The following is a 24,558-nucleotide window of genomic DNA, read 5'->3' as shown; positions in this document are numbered from 1 at the left end:
ATTTTTAGTAGAGGCGGGGTTTGCTACGTTTCACAGGCTGGTCTCAAACTCCTGGCATCAAGTGATCTGCTCGCCTTGGCCTCCCAAAGTGCTGGGATTACAGGCGTGAGCCACCGTGCCCAGCCTATTGCCAGATTGTTTTACATATGTTATTTTGCCATTTTAAATTATGGAGTGAAGAAAAAATGAGTACCCAATGGTATGTGGCTTTTTGTACTTTATTATTTAATGAGAAATCTCAAAGGAGACCTCTAAACATCTCTCATCAAGTTTAGTAAAATTTTTCAGAATAGATTAAGTATAACACGACTTTAAACTGCACATAAAATTACAGAAGCTTTTCTCCATGTTTATTTTATGGCTACTTAAATTTTTTGCTAATTTTGGTATGTTCACATTCTTATTAGCCATGTTTCAGGTATATAAGGTTCATTATTATAAAAGTGGATATAAATCTGTATTTCAAATAAACTTAAAATTTTTAAAAATATTTGGTTTGACTTCTTTCCAGAAGTAATTTAATAGTCTTTTTTTAAAAAAAACCTCACATTATTGTTGACAAAGAGTTTAAAATATGAGGCTTTAGCTCTGCTCTTTTCTTGTGGTTGGCTTGTGTTCCTATTATTAATATTATCTTCAATTTTTAACTTTGTAGTAGGAATATTTTTCAGCTACCTGTTCATTTTATGAGGTTAAATTTTATTAAAATGGTTAAATCCGTGTAAGGGGAACATGTCGATTGCAATACATTGCAATCCACTGAATGGATGAGCACACCTATGGTAGAAACTGCTGACTGTTTGCCATAATTTGTTTCTTCTTCTTGAGCACATAATCAGGCTACATTTCCTGGCTTCCCTTGTGGTTAGTTGTGGCTCTGAGACTAAGTCATGGCCAATGGAGGATGAGCTTCGATAATATGTACCACTTTCAGTCTGGTCCCATAAAAAGCCTCCTAGAAGTGATTCTCCAAGGTTCTTCCTTCTTCCTGCAGGAAGCGATGCAGATGGCTATGCTAACCATAAGCCGAAGTTGGCAGAGCCTCATCTAAGTGATGGCATGGCTTGAGCTGTCCTGCTGATCTCATCACCAGAATGGCACCCTAAGCAAGAACTAACTTCCTATTGTGTTGAGCCATTACCTGCTTGGTCTATGTGTTACTGCAGCCCAGCCTACCTGAACTGATGCTACCCCTATCATACCCTCAGCACTGTTGAGCCCTCAACCTTCTTTCAGGAAGACTCACAGTCCACAGGTGGTGGGTGAGAGGTGACTGTCTGTATCTGCACCAAATGAGGACAACTGGTGTCATCCAGATTTTAACTCTTAGTGAGGCTTTCTTTCCTTCTTAGTGTTTAGCTTAAAAGTCAATAGAAATAGAAGTTCTAGTAATTTTTTCCTAGACCCTGTATTTATTACACTTCCCTTAGCAAACTATTGCTTTAAGAAACTTGATTCTATGCGTTTTACATTTCTTCACTGGGCCAACTTTGTAACTGCTATAAAATGACAGTGTAAGTAGGAGTTTGGCATTGGTAAGGTTGCATTTTTCTGTAAGAAGGAAAAAAAGAGATCTGATTCTTGTTCCATTGTCCTGGCAACAGAAATAAAAACTGCATGAAATATGTAACTTTAATGTATTTTTCATTGCTCATGTGCCCTTCTATGGGATTTCCTGACTGGCTTTCTTTATTCCATAGGGTCCTCCGCTGTTAATTTGACATATGCAAAGTGTTTCTCTGTTGCTACCATTTTATTTCTTTTCTAAAGAATGAGTGATGGGAAATAGAGCTCCACCTGAGCTCCAGTTCCATTTGGTGTGAGACTGGACAACGTGATTCAGCCCAGATCTGACTCTTTCTCATTGGGGTTAGTTTTTGCTTGTGAAAGAATGTTGCTTAAGTTAGCCCTATTCCTGCCTTCCCACCCATGGAATAAATCACCAGTGCAGAAGAGAGTGGCAGTCCAGTTGGTACACTGCCACTAAATAGCTTCATCCTATTTTCCTGGCCCCTTCCCCACCTGCCCATCTTCATCTTATACAAATGGATATTAAGCAAATCTATGAGCATCCAAAGCAGATGGCACTTTTAAAATGAGCAGGCCCGGCTGAATCTCTACCCTCTCGCTGACAGAATTCAAACTGATAAGAAAGTGAAACATTACTTCAAATGTTTGCTTAAGGATGGGGAAGTTGGGCCCAACCCCTCCGTATTGGCAAATGTTACATGGAACATCGTAAAATCAAATTCTCACATCTTGTTGTCCTCGCATTAGATCACATTAAATTCTGGCAATGAGGCCAGCCCGCCTTGGTGGTTTTCTGATTTGTGGTTTGCTCTTGGCTTTCCTTGTAGGCTTTAAAAATGATTTTATTTTGCGAACAAGTCACTGATAGTCAGACTCTAGAGTAAACGTGCTTGAGCCAACATTTGCAGTAATAACATTTCACATTATCAAGAGTTTCCTGAAGGACTGCGAAGAATGAAAACAAAGAAGAGCTTTTCTGGTAGTGGTTGTTTTTCTTCAGATGCTGGTAACCTCCCGCGTAGAGAGGCTATGAATTTAGGCTTTGAAGAGCTCCTCACAAGCATCTACAGTTCTTTGCCTTTAAGGTGAAACTAGAGAACTGGAACAGATTTGGGTTTTCTTGTTTTCTGGCTTGCTGGATATGTAACTGATTCTCCCTTTTCCTTTTCTTGGGTGGTTTTTCTGATTATCTTCTTCGATCTTTCATGGCGTAGGAGCTGGAGGGTGGTGGGCTTGGCAGAGGTTGCCCTGGGTCAAGGAAGGGAAAGTTCAGTTTAGGTAAGTCCAGCTAAGTATTCCAAATGAGGACTTTCTCAATGCTCCTCATAGTGTTTTTCTCCAAAAAGTATTTATGCTGCCTGTATAAAGAAAATGAAAAGTGATCTTTAGAATAAAGCATACAACTGTTTTTGCAGTACTTTGATGCTGATGGGGATGATGAAAATGGTGATTATGTTATAATGATTCATTAATGAAAAATAATAAGTAAATGAGCTTATGATATTAAAAATGAACGTCAGATAGGTACACATTACCTTGAAGTGTTTTAAGATCAAAGTCTCTTTTTTATTTTTATTTTTTTAATTGTGGTAAACTATGCACAAAAGTCATCATTTTAACTTTTTTTTTGAGATGGAGTTTCGCTCTTGTCACGCAGGCTGGAGTGCAATGGCATGGTCTCTGCTCACTGCAACCTCGGCTCACTGCAACCTCTGCCTCCTGGGTTGCAGTGATTCTCCCGCCTCAGCCTCCCAAGTAGCTGGGATTACAAGTGTGCACCACCAAGTTCAGTTAAGTTTTTTGTTATTATTAGTAGAGACGGGGTTTCACCATGTTGGCCAGGCTGGTCTCGAACTCCAGACCTCAGGTGATCCACTCACCTCAGCCTCCAGGCGTGAGCCACCTCAGCCAGCCCATTTTAACCATTTTTAAGTGTACAGTTCAATGGTATTCAGCACACTCACATTGTTGTGCAACCATCACCACCACCCATCTCCAGAACTTTTTTTTTTCTCGCAAAACTGAAACTCCATACTCATTCAATAAGTCCTCATTTCCACCTGCCGCCAGTCCCTAGTAACTACCATTTTACTTTTGGTGTCTATGAATTTGAGCACTCTAAATACCTCATGTAAGTGGAATCGTATGGCATTTGTCCTTTTGTGACTGGCTTATTTCACTTAACATAATGTCTTCAAGGTTCACCCATGTTGTACTATGTGTCAGAATTTTTTTAAAGGCTGAATAATATTGCATTGTGTGTTTGTACTACATTTTATTTGTTCACCCGTGAATAGACTTGGGTTTGCAGACTCACTTTTATCAGAGAGCATCAGTAGGATTTGAATGGCAAAGACTGATGTTCTGAAGAGTAGAACTTGAATAATTATGCAAATTCCCTCAGTTTGAAATTCTTATAAGCCAAGCCAGACTAATAAAATTATATTGATCAATTTGCCAACATGTATTTACTGAATATCATGTCCTTTTCTATTTTTATTTTTAGTTTTGTAGAGATGGGGTTTTGCCATGTTGCCTGGGCTGATTGTGAACTTCTAGGCTCAAGCCATCTGCCTGCCTTGGCCTCCTAGGATTACAGGTACGAGCCATTGCACCTGGCCACCTTTTTATCTCTTTAATAATATAGTCTTTTTTAATTACAAGATATATCATTGCAAAAAACTAGACAATATAGAAAAGCATGAAGATGAATATAAAGGGAACTTGAAAAATTGTAGCTGTGTTAATACTGTGAATATTTTGGGGATATGTTGTACCAAAAATGGTGTTGATCTAAATATAAGCACTGTAGATATAGATGGTGACTTTTTAAAACTTATATAGAACTGGGAACATATTCACATGCTTGCAAACTGCTTTTGTTAATTAGCAATATATTTGGCACATATATAAATATAGTTTTATATTGGTTGCTTTTAAACATTTTAAATTGTGGAAGCTTTTCTTCAGATGAACTTTCAGAATGTTAATTTATAAAAATTGGAACTTTTCTAGTTAAAGTGGACAAGGGAAATCTAGAGCTCACCAGCTCAGGACCAACAGTTAATTGCAATAGTTTTTGAGGCACCCCTCAGAGACCCCACAATTCTGTTATGGGTTCTGTAAAAAGATTTTGAAGTCCTACTGCCCCAGTTCCTTTGAAAGTGACCAAATGCTTATGGGGTATTTATAAAGTTAAGATGAGGTTACCAGGGTGGACCCTAATCCAACATGATTGGTGTCCCTACAAAAAAGAGAAATCTGGACACAGACACAGGTACATGCATAGGAAGTCTGCCATGTGAAGATAAAGGCAGATATCAGAGTGGTGCATCCACAAGCCAAGGAACCCCAGAGATTGCCAGCAAACACAAGAAGGAGGAGAGAAGCATGAAAGAAATTCTCCCCCACAGCCCTCAGATGGAACCAACCCTGCTGACACCTTGATCTAAGAGTTCTAGCCAACAACTGTAAGACAATAGATTTCTGTTTTTCTAAGCCACCTAGATTTTGGTACTTTGTTATGGCAGCCCTAGAGAAATGAATATAGACTTCCAAAAACATGATTTGAAACCACTACTTTATGTCAATATTGTAAAAGTCTGCAGGTATTCCCCTGTATGGAAGTATATAATGTACTTAATCAGTCCTTATTAATGTACATGAATAGTCAGAATGTTCCAGTATTTTAAAGTATGATGCTGTGAACACCCTTTTAGGTAAATTTTTACATCTGTCCTGTTGTTTTCTTAAAATAACTTGCCAGAGGAGGAATCATTGGATTAGATAATAAGGATATTTGAAATTTTGATATTACTGCCAACATGCTCTCCAAAAAGCCTGTACTAAGTTATTCTCTTAGCTATCAGGTCTAAGACTACACATGTTTCTCTGCATCCTTACTGGATACTGTCAGTGTTTTTTAAAATCTGAATTTAGTTTTAATTTTTACTAAAGGAATATATGAAGGTATTTTAAGTTAGTAAATTAGTTTTACATGACATAGAAACTGGCAGTCCTCGCTGCATCCTTCTCCACCTCTGTCATTCCTCAGTGGCAACCACTTTCAATTCTCATAGCTATTTCTTCTGTTTTTTATACTTATATTTCTAAATATCATGCTTATACTACTACTTTTAAATTTTTTCAATTTTAAGCATTATTCATTGACTTACTATTATGGAAGATTAGAAAGTAGCTCTCTAATATATGCCCTCCCCCATATTCCCAAATGATTTTTATCACAATTTTGGTTAAATCAGTATTCAGTTTACACATTATATGTTATTATGGCTATATTTTTTATTTTATTTTTTATTTTAGATGGAGTCTCACTCTTGTCACCCATACTGGAGTGCAGTGGCGTGATCTCAGCTAGCTGTAACCTCTGCCTTCCGGGTTCAAGTGATTCTCCTGCCCCAGCCTCCTGAGTAGCTGGGATTACAGGCACCCACCACCATGTGGGGGTAATTTTTATATTTTTAGTAGAGATGGGGTTTCACCATGCTGGCCAGTCTGGTCTCGAACTCCTGACTTTAAGTGATCCACCTGCCTCGGCCTCCCAAAGTGCTGGGATTACAGTCATGAGCCATTGTGCCCAGCCCAATGATTATAAATAGTATTTTCAACTGAGTCATATCGAATACTGTATTTATTTTTCTTAAGTCTCCCTGTGAAGGGTTAATCATTAATTCATTTTTTCTTTGCTTAGTTTTTGTCAATGTATTACTAATTTGTATGCAAACTCTCTGCCTGAAGTCTACGTATTGTCGCAATGAATTTTAACACTGTCCTATCAGTTTAGTTTTTTTTGAATTATCCTTCCAGTAATCATTCAACCTCCTGTACCTTACTTTGTAGATCTGCTGCACATTTATCACTCTGGATTTTCCTTCACAGTAATCCTGGGGATTTCCTTTGCCTCTCTTCTGTGTAGTATCTCCTGCTTCCTGGATCCCATATCTTTCTGTTTCTTGATTTACTACCTTGCTTTGTTGGAGTTTGTTCCCACTGAGGGAGTAACAGAACCTTCCTCTTGTTTTAAACTTCAATGGGAGTAGTCTTTGTGATTCATCAGAAGTATCATATAGGTTTCTGGTGGTAGCTTCTGTCAGTTTGCTGAATAAAAGCTTTTCTTATCAAGAGTGATCATTAAGTTTTAGCAAGTACTTTTTCATGTGTATTTAGATAATAATGTCATTTTTCTTTTTTAAGCTCTTGGTGTAGTGAATTACACTAAACGACAGACTAATGTTAACCTGTCCTAGCATTTCTGTGAAAAAGACTGCCAGTTCATGCTATAATTCTCTTAATGCACTACTGAATTAAAATGTCCAATATTTGGCTCTCTGTTTGTCTGTTATTGGTGTATTGGAATGCTTGTGAGTTTTGTACATTGATTTTGTATCCTGAGACTTTGCTGAAGTTGCTTTTCAGCTTAAGGAGGTTTTGGGCTGAGATGATGGGATTTTCTAAATATACAATCATGTCATCTGCAAACAGAGACAATTTGACTTCCTCTCTTCGTATTTGAATACGCTTTATTTCTTTCGCTTGCCTGATTGCCCTGGCCAGAATGTCCAATACTATGTTGAATAGGAGTGGTGAGAGAGGGCATCCTTGTCTTGTGCCGATTTTCAAAGGAAATGCTTCCAGTTTTTGCCCATTCAGTATGATATTGGCTATGGGTTTGTCATAAATAGCTCTTATTATTTTGAGATACGTTCCATCAATACCAAGTTTATTGAGAGTTTTTAGCATGAAGGGGTGTTGAATTTTATTGAAGGCCTTTTCTGCATCTGTTGAGATAATCATGTGGTTTTTGTCATTGGTTCTGTTTATGTGATAGTTTATGTTCTAGAAAGAGAATAAAATACCTAGGGATACAACTGACAAGGGATGTGTAGGACCTCTTCAAGGAGAGCTACAAACCACTTCTCAAGGAAATAAGAGAGGACACAAACAAATGGAAAAACATTTCATGCTCATGGATAGGAAGAATCAATATCATGAAAATGGCTATACTGCCAAAAGTAATTTATATATTCAATGCCATCCCCATCAAGCTACCATTGACTTTCTTCTCTACTGGGGGAAATTCACCCCCAATATTTCATGTAAGTTCTTTTCAATTTTCCCTAAGTGTCGACCAGTCTGAGAAATAAAGGGACAGAGTACAAAAGAGAGAAATTTTAAAGCTGGGTGTCCGGGGGAGATATCACATGTCGGCAGGTTCCGTGATGTCCCCTGAGCTGTAAAACCAGCAAGTTTTTATTAGTGATTTTCAAAAGGAGAGGGAGTGTACGAATAGGGTGTGGGTCACAGAGATCACATGCTTCACAAGGTAATAAAATATCACAAGGCAAATGGAGGCAGGGTGATATCACAGGACCGGGGCAAAATTAAAATTGCTAATGAAGTTTCGGGCATGCATTGTCATTGATGACATCTTATCAGGAGACAGGGTTTGAGAGCAGATAACCGGTCTGACCAAAATTTATTAGGCAGGAATTTCCTCGTCCTAGTAAGCCTGGGAGTGCTACGGGAGACCGGGGCTTATTTCATCCCTTATCTATGACCGTAAAAGATGGCCGTCCCCAAAGCAGCCATTTCAGAGGCCTCCCCTTAGGGACGCATTCTCTTTCTCAGGGATGTTCCTTGCTGAGAAAAAGAATTCAGCGATATTTCTCCTATTTGCTTTTGAAAGAAGAGAAATATGGCTCTGTTCTGCCCAGCTTACAGACAGCCAGAGTTTAAGGTTATCTCCCTTGTTCCCTGAACATTGCTGTTATCCTGTTCTTTTTTCAAGGTTCCCAGATTTCATATTGTTCAAACAATTTGTGCAGTTAACGTAATTATCACAGGGTCCTGAGGTGACATTCATCCTCAGCTTACGAAGATGGCAGGATTAAGAGATTAAAGTAAAGACAGGCATAGGAAATCACAAGGGTATTGATTGGGGAAGTGATAAGTGTCCATGAAATCTTCACAATTTATGTTCAGAGACTGCAGTAAAGACAGGTGTAAGAAATTATAAAACTATTAATTTGGGGAACTAATAAATGTCCATGAAATCTTCACAATTTATGTTCTTCTGCCATGGCTTCAGCTGGTCCCTCCGTTTGGGGTACCTGACTTCCCGCAACACTTTTCAGAATTAGAAAAAGCTACTTTAAATTTCATATGGAACCAAAAAAGAGCCCGTATGGTCAAGACAATCCTAAGCAAAAAGAACAGAGCTGGAGGCATCATGCTACCTGACTTCCAACTATACTACAAGGCTACAGTAACAAAAACAGCTTGGTACTGGTACCAAATCAGATACATAGACCAATGGAACAGAACGGAGGCCTCAGAAATAATGCCACACATCTACAACCATCTGATCTTTGACAAACCTGACACAAACAAGCAATGGGGAAAGGATTCCCTATTTAATAAATGGTGTTGGGAAAACTGACTAGCCATATGCAGAAAACTGAAACTGGACCCCTTCAATATGTAAACATTATACAAAAATTAACTCAAGATGGATTAAAGATTTAAACATAAGACCTAAAACCATAAAAACCCCAAAACCATAAAAACCCTAGAAGAAAACCTAGGCAATACCCTTCAGGACATAGGCATGGGCAAAAACTTCTTGACTGAAACACCAAAAGCAATGGCAATAAAAGCCAAAATTGACAAATGGGATCTAATTAAACTGAAGAGCTTCTGCACAGCAAAAGAAACTGTCTCAGATTGAACAGGTACCCTACAGAATGGGAGAAAATTTTTGCAATCTGTCCATCTGACAAAGGTCTAATATCCAGAATCTACAAGGAACTTAAACAAATTTACAAGAAAAGAAAAACAGCACCATCAAAAAGTGGGCAAAGGATATGAACAGACACTTCTCAAAAGAAGACATTTATGCAGCCAACAAATATATGAAAAAAAGCTCATCATCACTGGTCATTAGAGAAATGCAAATCGAAACCACAATGAGATATCATCTCATGCTAATTAGAATGGTGTTCATTAAAAAGTCAGGAAACAACAGATGCTGGAGAGGATGTGGAGAAACAGGAATGCTTTTACACTATTGGTGGAAATGTAAATTAGTTCAACCCATTGTGGAAGACAGTGTGGCGATTCCTCAAGGATCTAGAATCAGAAATATCATTTGACCCAGCAATCCCATTACTGGGTATATACCCAAAGGATTATAAATCATTCTACTATAAAGACACATGCACATGTATGTTTATTGCAGCATTATTCACAATAGCAAAAACTTGGAACCAACCTAAATGCCCATCATGTTAGACTGGATAAAGAAAATGTGGCACATATACACCATGGAATACTATGCAGCCATAAAAAAGGTTGAGTTAATGTCTTTTGCAGGAACATGCATGGAGCTGGAAATCATCATTCTCAGCAAACTAACACAGGAACAGAAAACCAAACACCACATGTTTTCACTCATAAGTGGGAGTTGAACAATGAGAATATATGGAGACAGGGAGGGGAATATCACACACCAGTGCCTGTTGGGGGTTGGGAGGCTAGGGGAGGGATAGCATTAGGAGAAATACCTAACATAGATGATGGGTTGATGGGTGCAGCAAACCACCATGGCACGTGTATACCTAGTAACAAATCTGCACCTTCTGCACATGTATCCCAAAACTTAAAGTATAATATAAAAAATTCCAATATTTTTGGGGAGATTTTTGCCTCCATTTGTCTTTGGATTTTTTGATTTTTTTTGTGGGTTTCTTTCTTTCTATTTTTATCTGGTTATGGTTCAGTGTGATGTTAAATTTGTAGAATGAGCTGAAAACATTCCATTTTTTTCTATGTTCTGTAACAGTGTAAATAATACAGGAATTATCTGTTCTTTGTAGGTTTAATACAATGTGCCCATAAGATTGTCTGGGCATTGTGCCCTTTCTAGAGTTTTGATTTCTTCTAAATTTCTTTTCTAGTTATTGGGTTTTTCAGAGTGTCAGGTCCTTTTTGAGTCAAGTTTGCTTACTCAGTTTTTTCTACTACATTATCTATTTCAACTAATTTTCAGATTTGTTTGGTGTAAACTTGTATTTGAGTTCTTATGATTAAACATTTTTCCCACATCACTTTTCCATTTTATTTATTTATGTATTTATTTATTTATTTTTATCTTTTATTTTAGGTTCAGGGGTATATGTGCAGGTTTGTTATGTTGGTAAATTGGGTGTCATAGGGGTTTGGCATACGGATTATTTTGTCACCTAGGTAAAAAGCATAGTACCAATAGGTAGTTTTTGGATCCTCACCTTCCTCCCTCCCTCCACCCTAAAGAAGGCCCCAGTGTCTGTTATTCCCTTCTTTGTGTCCATGTGTACTCAATGTTTAGCTCCCACTTATAAATGAGAACATGTGGTATTTGCTTTTCTGTTCATACATTAGTTTGCTTAGGATAATACCCTCCAGTTTCATCCATGTTGCTGCATACGAGATGATTTCATTCTTTTTTACGGCTGCATATATTCCACGGTGTGTATGTGCTACATTTTCTTTATCCGATTTATCGCTGATGGGCATTTAGGTTGATCCAATGTCTTTGTTATTGTGAATAATGCTATGATGAACATACATGTGCATGTATCTTTAAGGTAGAATAATTTATATTTCATTTGGTATATACAAAATAATGGGATTGCTTGGCAGAATGGTAACTCTGTTTTAAGTTCTTTGAGAAATTGCCAAACTGCTTTCCACAGTGGCTGAACTAATTCACATTCCCATCAGCAGTGTTTAAGGGTTCCATTTTCTCCATAACCTTACCAACATCTGTTGTTTTTGACTTTTCAGTGATAGCCATTCTGACTGGTGGGAGATGGTATCTCATCGTGGTTTTGATTTGCATTTCTGTAATAATTAGCAATGTTGAGCATTTTTTCACATGCTTGTTGGCTCCATGTGTGTCTTCTTTTGAAAAGCATCTGTTTATGTCCTTTGCTCAATTTTTAATGGTGGTGTTTTTTTGCTTGTTAATTTATTTAAGTTCCTTATAGATTCTGGATATTAGACCTTTGTCAGATGCATAGTTTGCAAATATTTTCTTCAATTCTATAGGTTGTCTGTTTATACTGTTGATAGTTTCTTTTGCTGTGCAACAGTTCTTTAGTTTAATTAGATACCATTTGTCAATTTTTGTTTTTGTTGCAATTGCTTTTGGCATTTCTGTCATGAAATCTCTGACATGTCCTATGTCCAAAATGGTATTTCCTAGGTTATCTTCTAGGATTTTTATAGTTTTGGGTTTTACATTCAAATCTTTAATCCATCTTGAGTTGATTTTTATATATGGTGTAAGGAATAGGTCCAGTTTCAATCTTCTGCATATGGCTAGCCAGTTATCCCAGTAGCATTTACTGAATAGGGTGTCCTTTCCCCATTGCTTGTTTTTGTCAGGTTTGTCAAAGATCAGATAGTTGTAAGTGTACCCCCATTATTTCTGGATTCTCTAACTTGTTCCATTTGTCTATGTGTCTGTTTTTGTACAAGTACCATGCTGTTTTAGCTACTATAGCCTTGTAGTGCAGTTTAAAGTCAGGTGGTGTGATGTCTCCAGCTGTGTTCTTTTTGTTTAGGATTGCTTTGGCTATTTGGGCTCTTTTTTGAATATTAGAACTCTTACATCCATATTTTATGTCTCCAGTTTTCTACTCACATATCTTTGTACTGTGTTACTACTGTGTTTTGGGATAATTTTTTTATCTCAATTTTCAAGCTAAGTTATTTGATATTTATGTTTTTCCGTTCTATTTAATCTATATATTGAATTATTTAAATCGAGTTATATTTTAAACTTCTAATTATTTCTAAAATAATTTTACCTTTTTCAATACCATAACTGTTCTATTTTATGGATACAATATTCTCACATCTCTCTCCCTCTCTCTGTGTGTGTTTGTGTGCATTTATGTGTTTTCTGCTGTTTCCTTGATGTAGCAGATATTCATTAGTATCATTTTCTGCATCTTCCTTGGTGAGAGAAAGTTCATATTGCTGAGTCATGCATCACTTCCATCTCGGCTATCATGCCAGTAAGTTTCTATGCTTATTGACCAAGCCCTAGGGTAGCCAGTGAAAAAGGCTAAATGAAATCCACAGAACAGGTTTTCTTCTTCTCACTAGGTAGGATTCTCCTCAACGGAGAAGCCAGCCCTGTGGTGAGAATTCAGTGGAACACAAATGTTCTCCTACTCTGCCATTCTGAGGAGTCCAGCAATAGGCCTTTTCTCCAGACTTTCTCATAACTAATTCTCTAATCTTTTTTCTTTCCCATCCAAGACTGTCTGGCCAAACCATTAGCTCTTTCCCATGGACTGTAGATTCAAACCCTTCTTTCTCTCCTTTCAGGCAAAGTGTAGAGCCAGATGCAGTATTTAACTTTGCTCATTGGGTGCACTTGGTTTCTCAAGTTGCCTGCTTGGCTCTCTTCCAAGCGGTACTTTCCTTCTCTCTCTTTCCCTTCCTTTCCTTACTCTTCTAAAGCTTTTTAATAAACGTTCACTCCTGCTTTGAAGCTTGCCTCAGTCTCTAATTCTGCCTTATGCCACTCAGTCGAATTCTGTCTTCTGAGGAGGCAAGAATTGAAATTGCTACAGACCGGTAGATAGGCCACTAGTAACTTGGTGTAAGTCGGATCTCTTCCACCACTAACTTATTTGGTGCCATGACTTGGATACTTTCCTATTGGAAAGCCGCTGCTGGACCTTCCACCTTGAGGGCAAGTCTGCTTCCTTGTTTTCACTTTGCATGCCACGTGACTTCTTAAACATACATTTCCTGTTATTCACGCACCGTGGTTCTCTGTGTTTGTGTGGCAGCAAAGGTGTGGGCTTCCGTGCGGATATTCCCTGAGGTTTATATTTGTTTCTACCAGCTCGAGTGACCTTTAATCCTTCCTCTGCTTGTTCTTTCAACTAAAACTGGCTCTTACGAAAAAAAAAGAAAAAAATGCATAAAGTTTTGCTCATTGAACATATTACTTTTTCTGATTGTCCTTGTATTGGGCTACTTACAATTGGGGCTTTAATATGCAGCAGTTCAATTTTGGCTGGTGCCAGCTACAAACCGGGCTGACATTTTTTTCTTCTTCTTCAATTAACTAGTTATAGGGAACTCCTCATAAGGCCATGTGTATTAGTTTGTGGAGAGGTTGCAATGTAACAAGAGTATTTGGTAAATACGTATTTCCTAAGAGGGAAATAGCTTGCTCTGATAATTTCGGGATTTTCCTATCAACATTTGCTGGGGTGCATGTATAGTATCTGCATCTGTAACAATTTTAAAATCATTAGATATACTGGGTCATAAAGCCAGAGTTTCTTGAACTGCAGCCTAGACTGGCTGCAGAGCCTTCTCTTATTCTGGGCCCTACTCAAAACTGGCAGCTTTAACATGTACTCAGTTTGGTAGATGATTGCATTAATGGCCCCACTTAATGGCTGCCATGTATCTATACACTTTGACTTGTAACTTTATAGTCCCTTTCTATCTGTTGTTGGGCTTAGCAATGAGACTTGCATTGGTCAATGGGATAACACATAACTTGACTGAAGGAGAAGCTGCAAAAGGTGCTGGGTGTTTGTTTCTTTTTCCAAATCCTGTGCAGTATTAGGTTGCTGGAAGATATGACACCATGTGTAAAAGAGCTGAGTTTTCCCAGCTGAGACTATCCCAAAATAGTAAGTCCCCAGTTGACTGATATAAAAATAATAAATGACTTTCATTTGAAGCCACTAAATTTTGAAGTGGTTTGTTTTATAGCATTATTAAGGTGATAGATAACTGATATAATTGGTAGATGGATAAGAGGAGCACACTCAGATGCCATATTCATACACATTGCCTTCTGAATGGAAAGAGACTACCAAATACTGCCTTTTTCATAGTTGTAGGGTGTTCAAGGCACAGTGTCTTATCTTTTAACTTTGGAGATTTCCCAGCATAATCTCAGAAAACTGGACTCCTGGAATGCTCTCTGAAATGTCTTCCAAATTTTCAATCTTGTTAGCTGACACTGCTGCACACCACTGGCTCACATCTCCTTTTTGCCTTCCAAACTCTATAGGAATACATCTCATTGTCAGATTCTAAATCATATATAAAACCTAAGCTGCAAAAGAGTCTTGCACATGTAATATTTAGCTTTCTAGAGCTCGACATATGGGACCAGAATATAGAATAGAAAGGGCCATGAATAGATACCAAATACCAAATATGAATGGACAATATTTATCCATTCATAACTTGCAACTTGAGAAAACTCTGCTAGACTGAATCCACCTTTCCAGCCTTAACATTCACTTTTCTTTATGTGTCCTTTTCCTTGGCCAAACAGAATCATTCTTCTCTGTATGCATATCACACTAAGCAGTTTTCTTTTTTCAGCTATGCCTGTTTAAATCCTGTTGATCTGTCAGGGTTATCTCAAAAAATTATTGGCTCTAGTTAGCTTTCATGGATACTGTATTAGTCTGTTCTCACAGTGCTATAAAGACATACTTGAGATTGGGTAATTTGTAAAGAGAAGATGTTTAATCAGCTAAAGATTCTGCAGGGTGTGCAGGCTTCTGCTTCTAGGGAGGCCTCAGAGCTTACAATTACGGCAGAAGGCAAAGGGGAAGCAGGTACATCTTCACATGGCTGGCAGGAGAGAGAACAAAGCAGAAAGTGCTATACACTTTCAAACAATCAGATCTCCTGGGAACTCTATCACAAGACAGCACTAGGAGGATTGTGCTAAACCATTAGAAACCACTCCCATGATTCAATCACCTCCCACCAGGCCCATCCTCCAACACTGGGGATTACAATTCAATATGAGATTTGGGTGGGAACACAGAGCCAAACCATATCAGATACCTCCAGAAAGAGAGGCTTTTTCTCTCCTTTAAAATTCTTTCATGATTTGCACTTCTTTCAAGATACTTCTCTTATTTCACCTGGCATTACTGTAATATTTGTACATCTCTAATCACCTTCTTCTATTTTAGAAAGACCTTGGGAATAGGGATAAATTTCTTAATTACCTTTATATCCCGTGTCATGCTAACAACATGTTTTGCACAATGTGTATTCTCTATAAATATTAGTTGATACCAATTGAAATATAATCACAGACAATGGTAGGTGTTGTGCTAAATATTGAGATGAATATGGATGGTACTCACTCTCAAGGAGCTTACAGACTGCTCAAAGTGTACAATATTTCAGCTTTGTACCTTCAAAGAGGACAAAATTTATAACACTTTAAATGGGACCACAGTTAGTGAGTTGGGTTCTCTCACAACCTACTGGGACAAGATTTGGCAGAAGTGTAGGGAGAAGTAAGGAAACTTATTCTTTTAAAGCTCATTTTTAATTAATAAAAGTTTTGCTACAAGAAGTACTTCACCCATAAGAAAGAACTAATAAAATATTCACAAAGCTGCTTTATTTCCCAGCCAGTCCTAGCTTAAGCACAGTGAAAAAGAAGCTTTTTGGCTACATTACTTATCATAGAATATACCTTGTCTTCTTAGTTCCTGCAGAACATGCAGCTTCCTGGTTCATGTTATTCTCACATTCCATGATATGGTAACTTGTGACATCCCTTCCTGACTTCTCTTTCACCTTCTAAAAGAGGAGGCTACTGATTAATTTTCACTCCAGGTGGGCTATCTTTAATTGAGTTAGCTGTTGACATTCATGGGATTTTTTCCTTTGCCATGTTCTATTAATAGGAGAAAATGGGTGGAGAAGAACCTTATGTGCCATATTCTATTCAGATACTGGTTATGCTTTAGGAAATGGAAGAAGCCAAGAAGGAAAGGAAGAGGTGTAGTCTGTGGTCTCTGAACCCACCAGACTGTGGATATATAAATTTCTCTACTCTGTAGGCCTGAGTGAGACTGATGTTTTGCAGGCCCACAGAGGATGATCTTCTCTATATGAAAACATAGATGTCAAGTGTTGTATTCAGCTGTGAGAGATGACTGCCCTCTGTTGTTTCAGAATTAAGAAAATGGAGACTCAAAATGCTCGGCGCCAATGGAAAAATCAACAAATATAGCTGTCACTGAGGAAAGCAGTGCAGCAAGATTTTGTTTTACCCTTTGCCAACCTCAACTCACCAATGTGCAGGCTACATATGTTTAGAATTAGCAAGTAATGTTTTATCCTTCATTTCCCCATTCCCATCCCCCACTCTTTCAGTTGCTTATCCAAAATGGAACTAAGCTTACAGGCTTCTTGAAGGTCACCCACCTCTCAATACAGGTGCAATTGAAACAGCTCCCTCCTAACTTAGCTCTTCCCTGACCACCTTGCTCTCTGACTCTCATTAGGTCTGGAGTGATTTTATTTTCATAGTTCTCTGGAGGGCTAATGAGCTTTTAAGAAACACCTGCAGCAACTCCAGATTCTACACAGCAACTTAAGTTTTCAGAGAATGTTTTAAAGAGTACTTTGTTGGGGGGCAAATTCCTTGCCCAGATAAATGGAATTGCAGCCATGAGAGCAACTTAATCCAACATCCACATTCACTCTTTTTTTTTTCACTGATATGCCCAAACTCTAATGCCTTCATTTCACCTTCATTTGCAATAGCAAAGCCTCCTTTACCAGAAAAATAAATGTGCAGTTGGCAAGAGCTGAATAGAGGTCTGCTTAAATGATTTTTAATTTATGTTAAAATGCTAAGAGCAGTTTTCCAGGTCTCCACTGAACACCTCACAAAATGAAGTTTTTCAAAGCCTACCTTTAAAAAAGGAACTAAAAGATTTAAAAACATTCCCTTTAATTTTACTGCCCCAATTGTATCTTTTATTCCTGCTCTACTGGGATCAAGCAGCTGGTTATGAGTTTACACTCACTTCATCTTAGTGCTCTGCTCTGAAAGTTAGAGACCTGTCTTCTATTCCTGCCTCCAAACAAAAAGTTGTATAAGTTTGAGCTTATCATTTACTCTCTATACTTCCTTCTCTCATAGAATGGACAGTAACTTGAATGTAAAGTATATAAAAAATCAAAACCACTTATAAGAAAATACTTAGATTTTCTGGATGCTTTTACATTTGTAACATGTATTATTTCTTTTGATTGGCATCTGCTTGGAAAGAAGCCACAAAGCAGTTGACAATTCAGTCTTGTCAACTCTTTTTTTTTTCCATTTTTTATTTTAAATTCAGGGGGTACATGAGCAGGTTTGTTACCTGAGTATATTGCATGATGCTGAGGTGTGGGTACGATTGATCCTGTCATGCAGGTACTGAGCATAGGACCCAATACTTAGTCTTTCAACTCTTTCCCCCTTCCCCCTCCCCATTCTAGTAGTCCCCAGTTTTTATTGTTGCCATCTTTATGTCCATCAGTACCCAATGTTTAGCTCCCACTTGTAAGTGAGAACATGCAGTGTGTGACTTTCTGTTCCTGTGTTAATTCACTTAGGATAATGGACTCCAGCTGCATCCACGTTGCTACAAAGGACATGATTTTTTTCTTTGTTATGGCTGTGTAGTATTCTATTGTGTATACGCACTAGATTTTAAAAATCCAATCCACTGCTGATGGCCACCTAGGTTGATTCCATGTCTTTGCTATTGTGAATAGTGCTGTGATGAACATGCAAGTGTATGTGCTTTTTGGTAGAAAGATTTGTTTTCTTTTGGGTATATATCCAGTAATGGAATTGCTGTGTCAAATGGTCGTTCTGTTTTAAATTTTTTTGAAAAATCTCCAGATTACCTTCCAAAGTGGCTGAACTAATTTACATTCCTACCAATGCCATTAAAAATGGCATTCTGCTCTCAGTTATGAGTCTAGGAAAATGTCTGCAGCTTTTCCTGGTATCTTTCCCTTACAGTGTCTCCTAGACTCTCCCCAAGTTAGCTCCAGGGCCTGGGGGAAACAAAGTGTTCTCACTTGGCCTGGGTTGCTCAGATCCCCAGTGGAAAGGTGAGTCACGGAGGGAGGCTCTCTGCCTCTCTTACATACTGGGGATTCACTCATTTTTATCAGCCTGATACTGTCATGGAGGCTCTTTGCCAGTGTTCTCCTCTCCGGGATCTGGGGTGTCCTTCATAATTCTGGTGGATTCTTGTTTTTCTTCTTGAATTAAAGCTCACAAAGTTGATCTTTATGTACTATCTTGCTGTTTTCAAGTAGCCTAGGTGTGCTAAAAGCCTCTAATCTACCATCTTGGAAAAAACAAACTGTCAACTCTTGAGACTCTTGATTATTGATTATTATGACCTAATTTTTAAACCAGGTTAACTTTTGTCTGCCACTTAGTATGAATCAAGGTTAACATTTCAACAATTGTTTATTGCACAAAGATATAGTCATGGAGATACACACAAGGATAAGCATTTAAAGAATAAGAATTATCTCAATTGTTTGAACTAGGTCGTAAAAGTACTATGAAATAGTTAATTATCAAACGCATTTTTTAGTTAGGTTTCAACATTTTTCTAGTACTGTGCTAAAGTTCTGAAGAAGATACAAAAGTCACATAAGGCCTTGTCATTATGTAACTTACAGTTTACTTTTGGGTACAAAATTGTTATGTGTGCATACGTGTGTGCATGTGTATATATAACACAAATGGCCCATGTTAAATGAAGTATGCTAATTTCAAATGTAAGCACCTCAGAGAAGGAAGACAGCACTGGAAGTTTAAATGATCATGAAAATTTTAGACTTTGGATGGATGACAGAGGAGAGAAAGGGAATTCTAGACTATGAAAACAATATGAAAGGAAGGAGCTCTATGGCCTGATTGTCAACCCACTAGGAGGCATGCTCACCTAGGTGGCTCAGATTAAAAAATCAAGCCAAATTGAACTTATCATCTTTTTTCTGAAACTCTCTTCTTCTATGTCCCATAATTCAGCAGGACCCTAGTATTTACCTAATTTGTTAGCCTGCCCAGCTAGGAGTCATCCTAAACTCTCCCATTCCTACTTCTTCTATTCTGTCATTCTTTCTATGTTCTGGGGCTGCCTTTTGAGAGCTCCCAGGATGCTCATTACCTCAAGGACTGGAATAAGCTCAAGATTGTTATTGACCCCACCTCCTACTACTGATTTAAATTCTACTCTCTCATTATCTCTCTTTGAGAGGCTTTGCTCTTAAATTTCTCATCTTGGGCTAATGTCAAATTAGTTAACTGATTTAGATTGACTACCCAACTCTAATCAGGCACTTCCTTGAGTTAAAACTTTTGGTTTAATTTCCTAGTTTCCTCACAAGACAGTCTATCTCTGTCCAGCCAGAATAGCTAGGATCAGAATCTGGTTAGTCTTGGTTTCTTAATCCCCTCTTGTTTATTCCTACTCGTCTGCCTTAGTTTAGTGGTTCATAATCTTTTGCCTGGTGTGGTAGATTGAGCTAATATGTTCAACAAGTGTTCATTCTCTCTTTCCTCACCCTATGGGTAGAGTATCCTACTGCGTCCTGTAGACATTGAGCTTGGCCATGAGACTCTGGCTGGTGGCAGGTGCATAGAAGAGATGCTGTGCTAGCTCTGAGTAGAGGCTTTAGGAGATATTGCATGTTTCTGCCCACCCCACTACCTCCCTGCACTCCTGCCATCCACCAATAGAAGAACAGAAAAGACATTGCTCCTTCATCATGAATTTTGAAAAGGAAAACCCATGGAGCACACATGAGTCTGCCTATGTAGTCTAGAGCCAAGCCAAGCCTGGTCCAACCCAGCCAAGCTGAAACCGACCATGACTGACCCACAGACCTGTAAGTAAGAAACAAATGTTTGCTGTTATAAGCCACTAAGATTTTGAATTGTTTAATAAAACCTGACATATATTCCTGAATTTTTATAAAACCTCCTACCTCATCTTCCCAGTCTTACCTTCCTCCCATCTACCCTTCACATTAGATTAAACAAAAATTCTTCAATAGCTCTAATAGCTCCAATGTCCCACAGGATAAAAATCCAAAATGGAATAAGAGACCACTACTTGCCTAGCCTCACCTCTATTTCTGTCTTGCATTTTCAGCTCTAGTTATACCTACCTACCTAATGTTCCTATAATTGATAATGCTTTCTCTCAGTGTCCTCTTTTACAAATGCAGTCAACTGTTTCAAATACCTTTGCCCAGACCCCCTCCCTCTCCCACCTGACGGATGGGCTGATGAAGGGCTGTTGAAGCCCTTTGCCCTGCAAAACTTACAAGATTTAAGTGTTGCCACTTCTGGAGGGCCTTCCCTCACTCCTCTAAACTCTCAAAACTACTTGCCTAATTCCAAGAGAGCAGACTTTGTTTTGAAATAGATTATTTTTATACCTCCTTTTCAGCTTGATTGTGAACAATTTGCTAATAGGAAGTTTGTCTTTTCATCTTTTTATTTTCAGGACTTAACATTTGTTTCATGCATATTTTAGATACTCAATAAATGATGCTATGGATATTTAGCTGATTTTGAAATTTAATCTGCTTAATGTTCCTCTACCTGGTTGAACCACTTTCACTTAAGATACACATACCATGAATTTGGGTTACCTTCTCTCTCACCAAGGTGTTACTTCTGGAACTATACTTGAAACATTAAGTGGACACAACCATGTGACCAATGCCCTGATCAACAGATAAAGCATTCCCAGCATCCTTCTTCTCTTACCAATCGCTACAAACACTTCCCAGAGAATAAGTCTTTTTCTGACTTCTGTCATCATAGATCGTTTTGCCTATTTTAGAACAGTATGTAAATGGAAATAGAGGGTATGCCCACTTTTATGCCTGGCTTTTTTCTTGCTCAACATTGTGAGATTTATTCAAATTATTGTGTATAGCAGTAGATCATTTTTATTGCTGTATAGTACTCCCTAGTATAAATATATCACATTTTTTCCATTACACTGTTAATAGTTATTTAGGTTGTTGCCAGTTTTGGGCTCTTATGAATAAAGGTGTCACAAACACGTTTTTGTACATGTCTTTTGGTGCACATATGTGAATTTCTGCTGAGTAAAAACCTAGGAGTTGAATTTCTGGTTCATAGGGCATTTTATGTCTTCACCTATGGTAGCTACTTCTAGACTCTTCTCCAAAGTGACTGTACCAAGAGTTCCTCTTCTTTTATATACTCACCAGCTCCTTGTCTTGTCAGTCTTTTTACTTGCAATCATTTGGGTGACATGTTGTGTCATTAATTTGCATTTCCCTGATGACTAGTGACATTGAGCACTTAATAGTTTTTTAAGGAAAAAAAAGTTTTTTTCCTTTTTTTTTTTTAACCATTTGGATATCTTCTTTTGTGAAATCGCATTTTTCTTTTGGGTTATCTTTTTCTTATTTGTTTGCATGAATTCTCTGAAACCAATTTGTTGGTATTTTGGTATACCATTTTTTTGCTTCTACCTTCCCAAGACAGAGTGGCCTGTAATTTTCCTTTTTTATTATATCCATGTCAGCTTTTAGTGAAGGATATCCAGGTCTCGTAAAATGAGTTGGAAAATGTTCTCTCTTTTTATATTCTTTGGAAAGTTTAATGTAAGGGTGGTGTTATTTCTAATTTCTTCTCTAGGAGTCAGTGAACATAGCACATGAGCAGATGAGCCCTGGAATCAGAGTGCTGGGACTGAATCCTGACTCGGCTACTTTCTTATCATGTCAACCTTGGGAAAGATACACAACCTGTTTCTGCCTCAGCTTTCTCATCTATAAAATGGGGATAATGAAAATACTTTATAAAATCTTTGTCAGGATCTTTGAGTCACATGTAGAATTCTCACTACCATTTCTGGCACACAATAGGAGTTCAAAAATTATTATTTATCCATTTATTCAATGTTTTTGCATACAGTGCAGTCTTATTGAAGCTGAAGCTGTGTCTTTCTTACGGTGTTGGTTCAACAATAAGCATTCCATGGGTTGAGGAAGTAAGTGGAACCTCTCAAAGCAATGCCAAAATCAAATTCTTCTTTACACTTAGCCTTTCCTCAGGGATATTTTTTTCCTTTCCTTTTTCTCTATTTTGTGAAATGTCAGGGAAGAGACATAAGAAGCTTTCTGTGGAAATAGTACCCAGAGAAAGACATGGATCTTAGTCATGGTACTTTTTTGGGGTTTTGGCAATATCCTAGTTGGGTGTGGGTCTACATGGCAAATATTCAGTGGTTAGAGGGGAGTTTGGACTTTTGATTTTTACTGCCTGGTAACTAACCTCAGAGATCTTTGGTTTTTCTTTTTAACAAAAAGAAGCCCAGCCTTCCCAGGGTGCGGTTTGAATTCCTGATTTGGTGGTTGTTCAGGGCTCTGAAAAGTCTATGCAGCTTTAAAGCAATGATAGTTATTGCTATGCAAATCTTTTTTTTTTTTCCCTTTAGCCTTTGTGTCATTAAAAGGCCGCTCAAGTGGAATGTTTGTTTTCAACTGGCTTATATCTCAGATTTAAGATACGTGGATCTCTGATGAACTCTGAAACAATTAATACTACATCTTCATCAGAAAAAACACAGAAATTAGGGTTAAACAGATCTTCTTGTGGTTTTCTCTAATCTTTTTCCAGCTTTATGGTTTCTCTGTCAGTTCTCCCTATGTCTTCTCTCAGTCTGCTTTTTTGAGTTTGAAATGAATTATCCATTCCAGACCTCCCCTATCTATCCCCACCCCAACATATGCACATTCCTCCTCTTGCACAGTTCCTGACCTATAGTCCTTCATATAAGCGAGGAAAAAATAGAAAGATAACAACACTTCCGTGGATTCGCATAGCTCACATGTGTCTGGTCTTCTGAGGAGAAATCGCTCCAGTCAATAAATCCCATGATCCAGCCACAGAAATCTTTGCCATTTCAAAGAATAATTTTCATGATTCCGTGCTTTTGCTTAACCTCAGTTGTTCAAAATTCTACTCATCTTTCATAGGACTTTCATCAAATGTTACCTTATTTGTGATGTCATTCTGATGTCAGAATGGGATTTTTCCTTTGGGTTCCTTTCGCATTTTGTTTATGCCCCTATTGTAATATTCCTTCAAATCCCAATTCGAAATCCTGGGTGTGCAAGCAATGTGATTTTATTTTTCTGTCACTAATTTGTATCTTTTGTGGTTAAATCATAGATATTTCCTTCCTCCACTTCCAGGGATTTCATCTAAGTGTGGATGTGGTAGACACAGAATCAATGGCCCCAATTCTTCACCTTTCTCTTTACTGAATACCTTTGGACAAGGCTATCCTGAGCTCTTCACTCCAGATTCAGCCACGGGACTTAGTGGGATATCAGCAGGCATATATGTCAGTGGGATATTAGCAGGAGTAATGTGATCAGAGGTTTGAAACATATGCAGATTTGGATGTGCCGACCTTTGTACCTTCACTGGCACCATAAGAAAAACAAGCCTCAACTAGTCCACCAGTCCTAGAAAAAGGGTGAGAGACATGTCCAGCAGAATTTACCCCCATCACATCCACCTAGATGAGCTAACTCCCAGCAAACCTGCAGACATGTTTGCTAAATAGTTCTTATTTTAAGACACTGAGTTTGGGATAGTTTGTTATGCAGCATTTTTCTAGCAAGAGCTAACATCTATTATGTAGATTTGGGGCAAGGTAATGGTATTTTAATAAGACTTTTATATTGCTTGATACATCTTTGTTCTCATCTTCTTTTTGGTCATCAATCCATTGAAATGGCTGTTATGTTTTTCTCATATTGACCAATAGGTCTTTAGCGCTCACTTCTCCCTTTCAGCAACTTCTATTTTTTTCCTATGCCTCACTGGAGCATGGAACACTCAGGCTGTCCAGGACAGGTCTGTTATAGCTTAGTTACCCTGCCCTATGTTAAGGTAGCTCTGAAGAACCTGTCAGCTCCCTGGGACTCACAGGAGAACTGAGACATAGTTTCCTCGATATTTAAGCTGATTACGTATCTGAGGTTTCCATTGTTTTCTCTCCCTTTCCTAAGACTCAGCCCAGGGCAGGTCTGGGTAGAGGGTAATAAATAGGGCCCCTAATCAGAGAAACCACCTAAGTG

General features: G+C 38.1%; 1 long non-coding RNA gene across 3 annotated transcripts; it reads right to left on the bottom strand.

The window, feature by feature from the left end:
• Positions 1 to 202: 202 nt before the first annotated feature.
• On the bottom strand, positions 203 to 23,430 carry LOC124900792 (uncharacterized). 3 transcript variants are annotated; one of them, XR_007058292.1, is made up of 2 exons: positions 23,298 to 23,430; positions 203 to 2,888 (listed from the first exon to the last, which is right to left on the bottom strand). It is a non-coding gene; the product is annotated as an uncharacterized LOC124900792 (long non-coding RNA). The 3 variants fall into 3 exon arrangements; XR_007058291.1 differs by lacking the exon at positions 203 to 2,888 and adding an exon at positions 22,344 to 22,587 and having other exon boundaries at positions 22,742 to 23,430; XR_007058290.1 differs by lacking the exon at positions 203 to 2,888 and adding an exon at positions 22,344 to 22,587.
• Positions 23,431 to 24,558: the final 1,128 nt, after the last annotated feature.

The sequence above is a fragment of the Homo sapiens genome, chromosome 4 (assembly GCF_000001405.40).
Source record: "Homo sapiens chromosome 4, GRCh38.p14 Primary Assembly".
Classification (NCBI taxonomy): Eukaryota; Metazoa; Chordata; class Mammalia; order Primates; family Hominidae; genus Homo; species Homo sapiens.
Note: the sequence above shows the minus strand (reverse complement) of the source record. Positions and strands in the feature narration are given on the sequence as shown.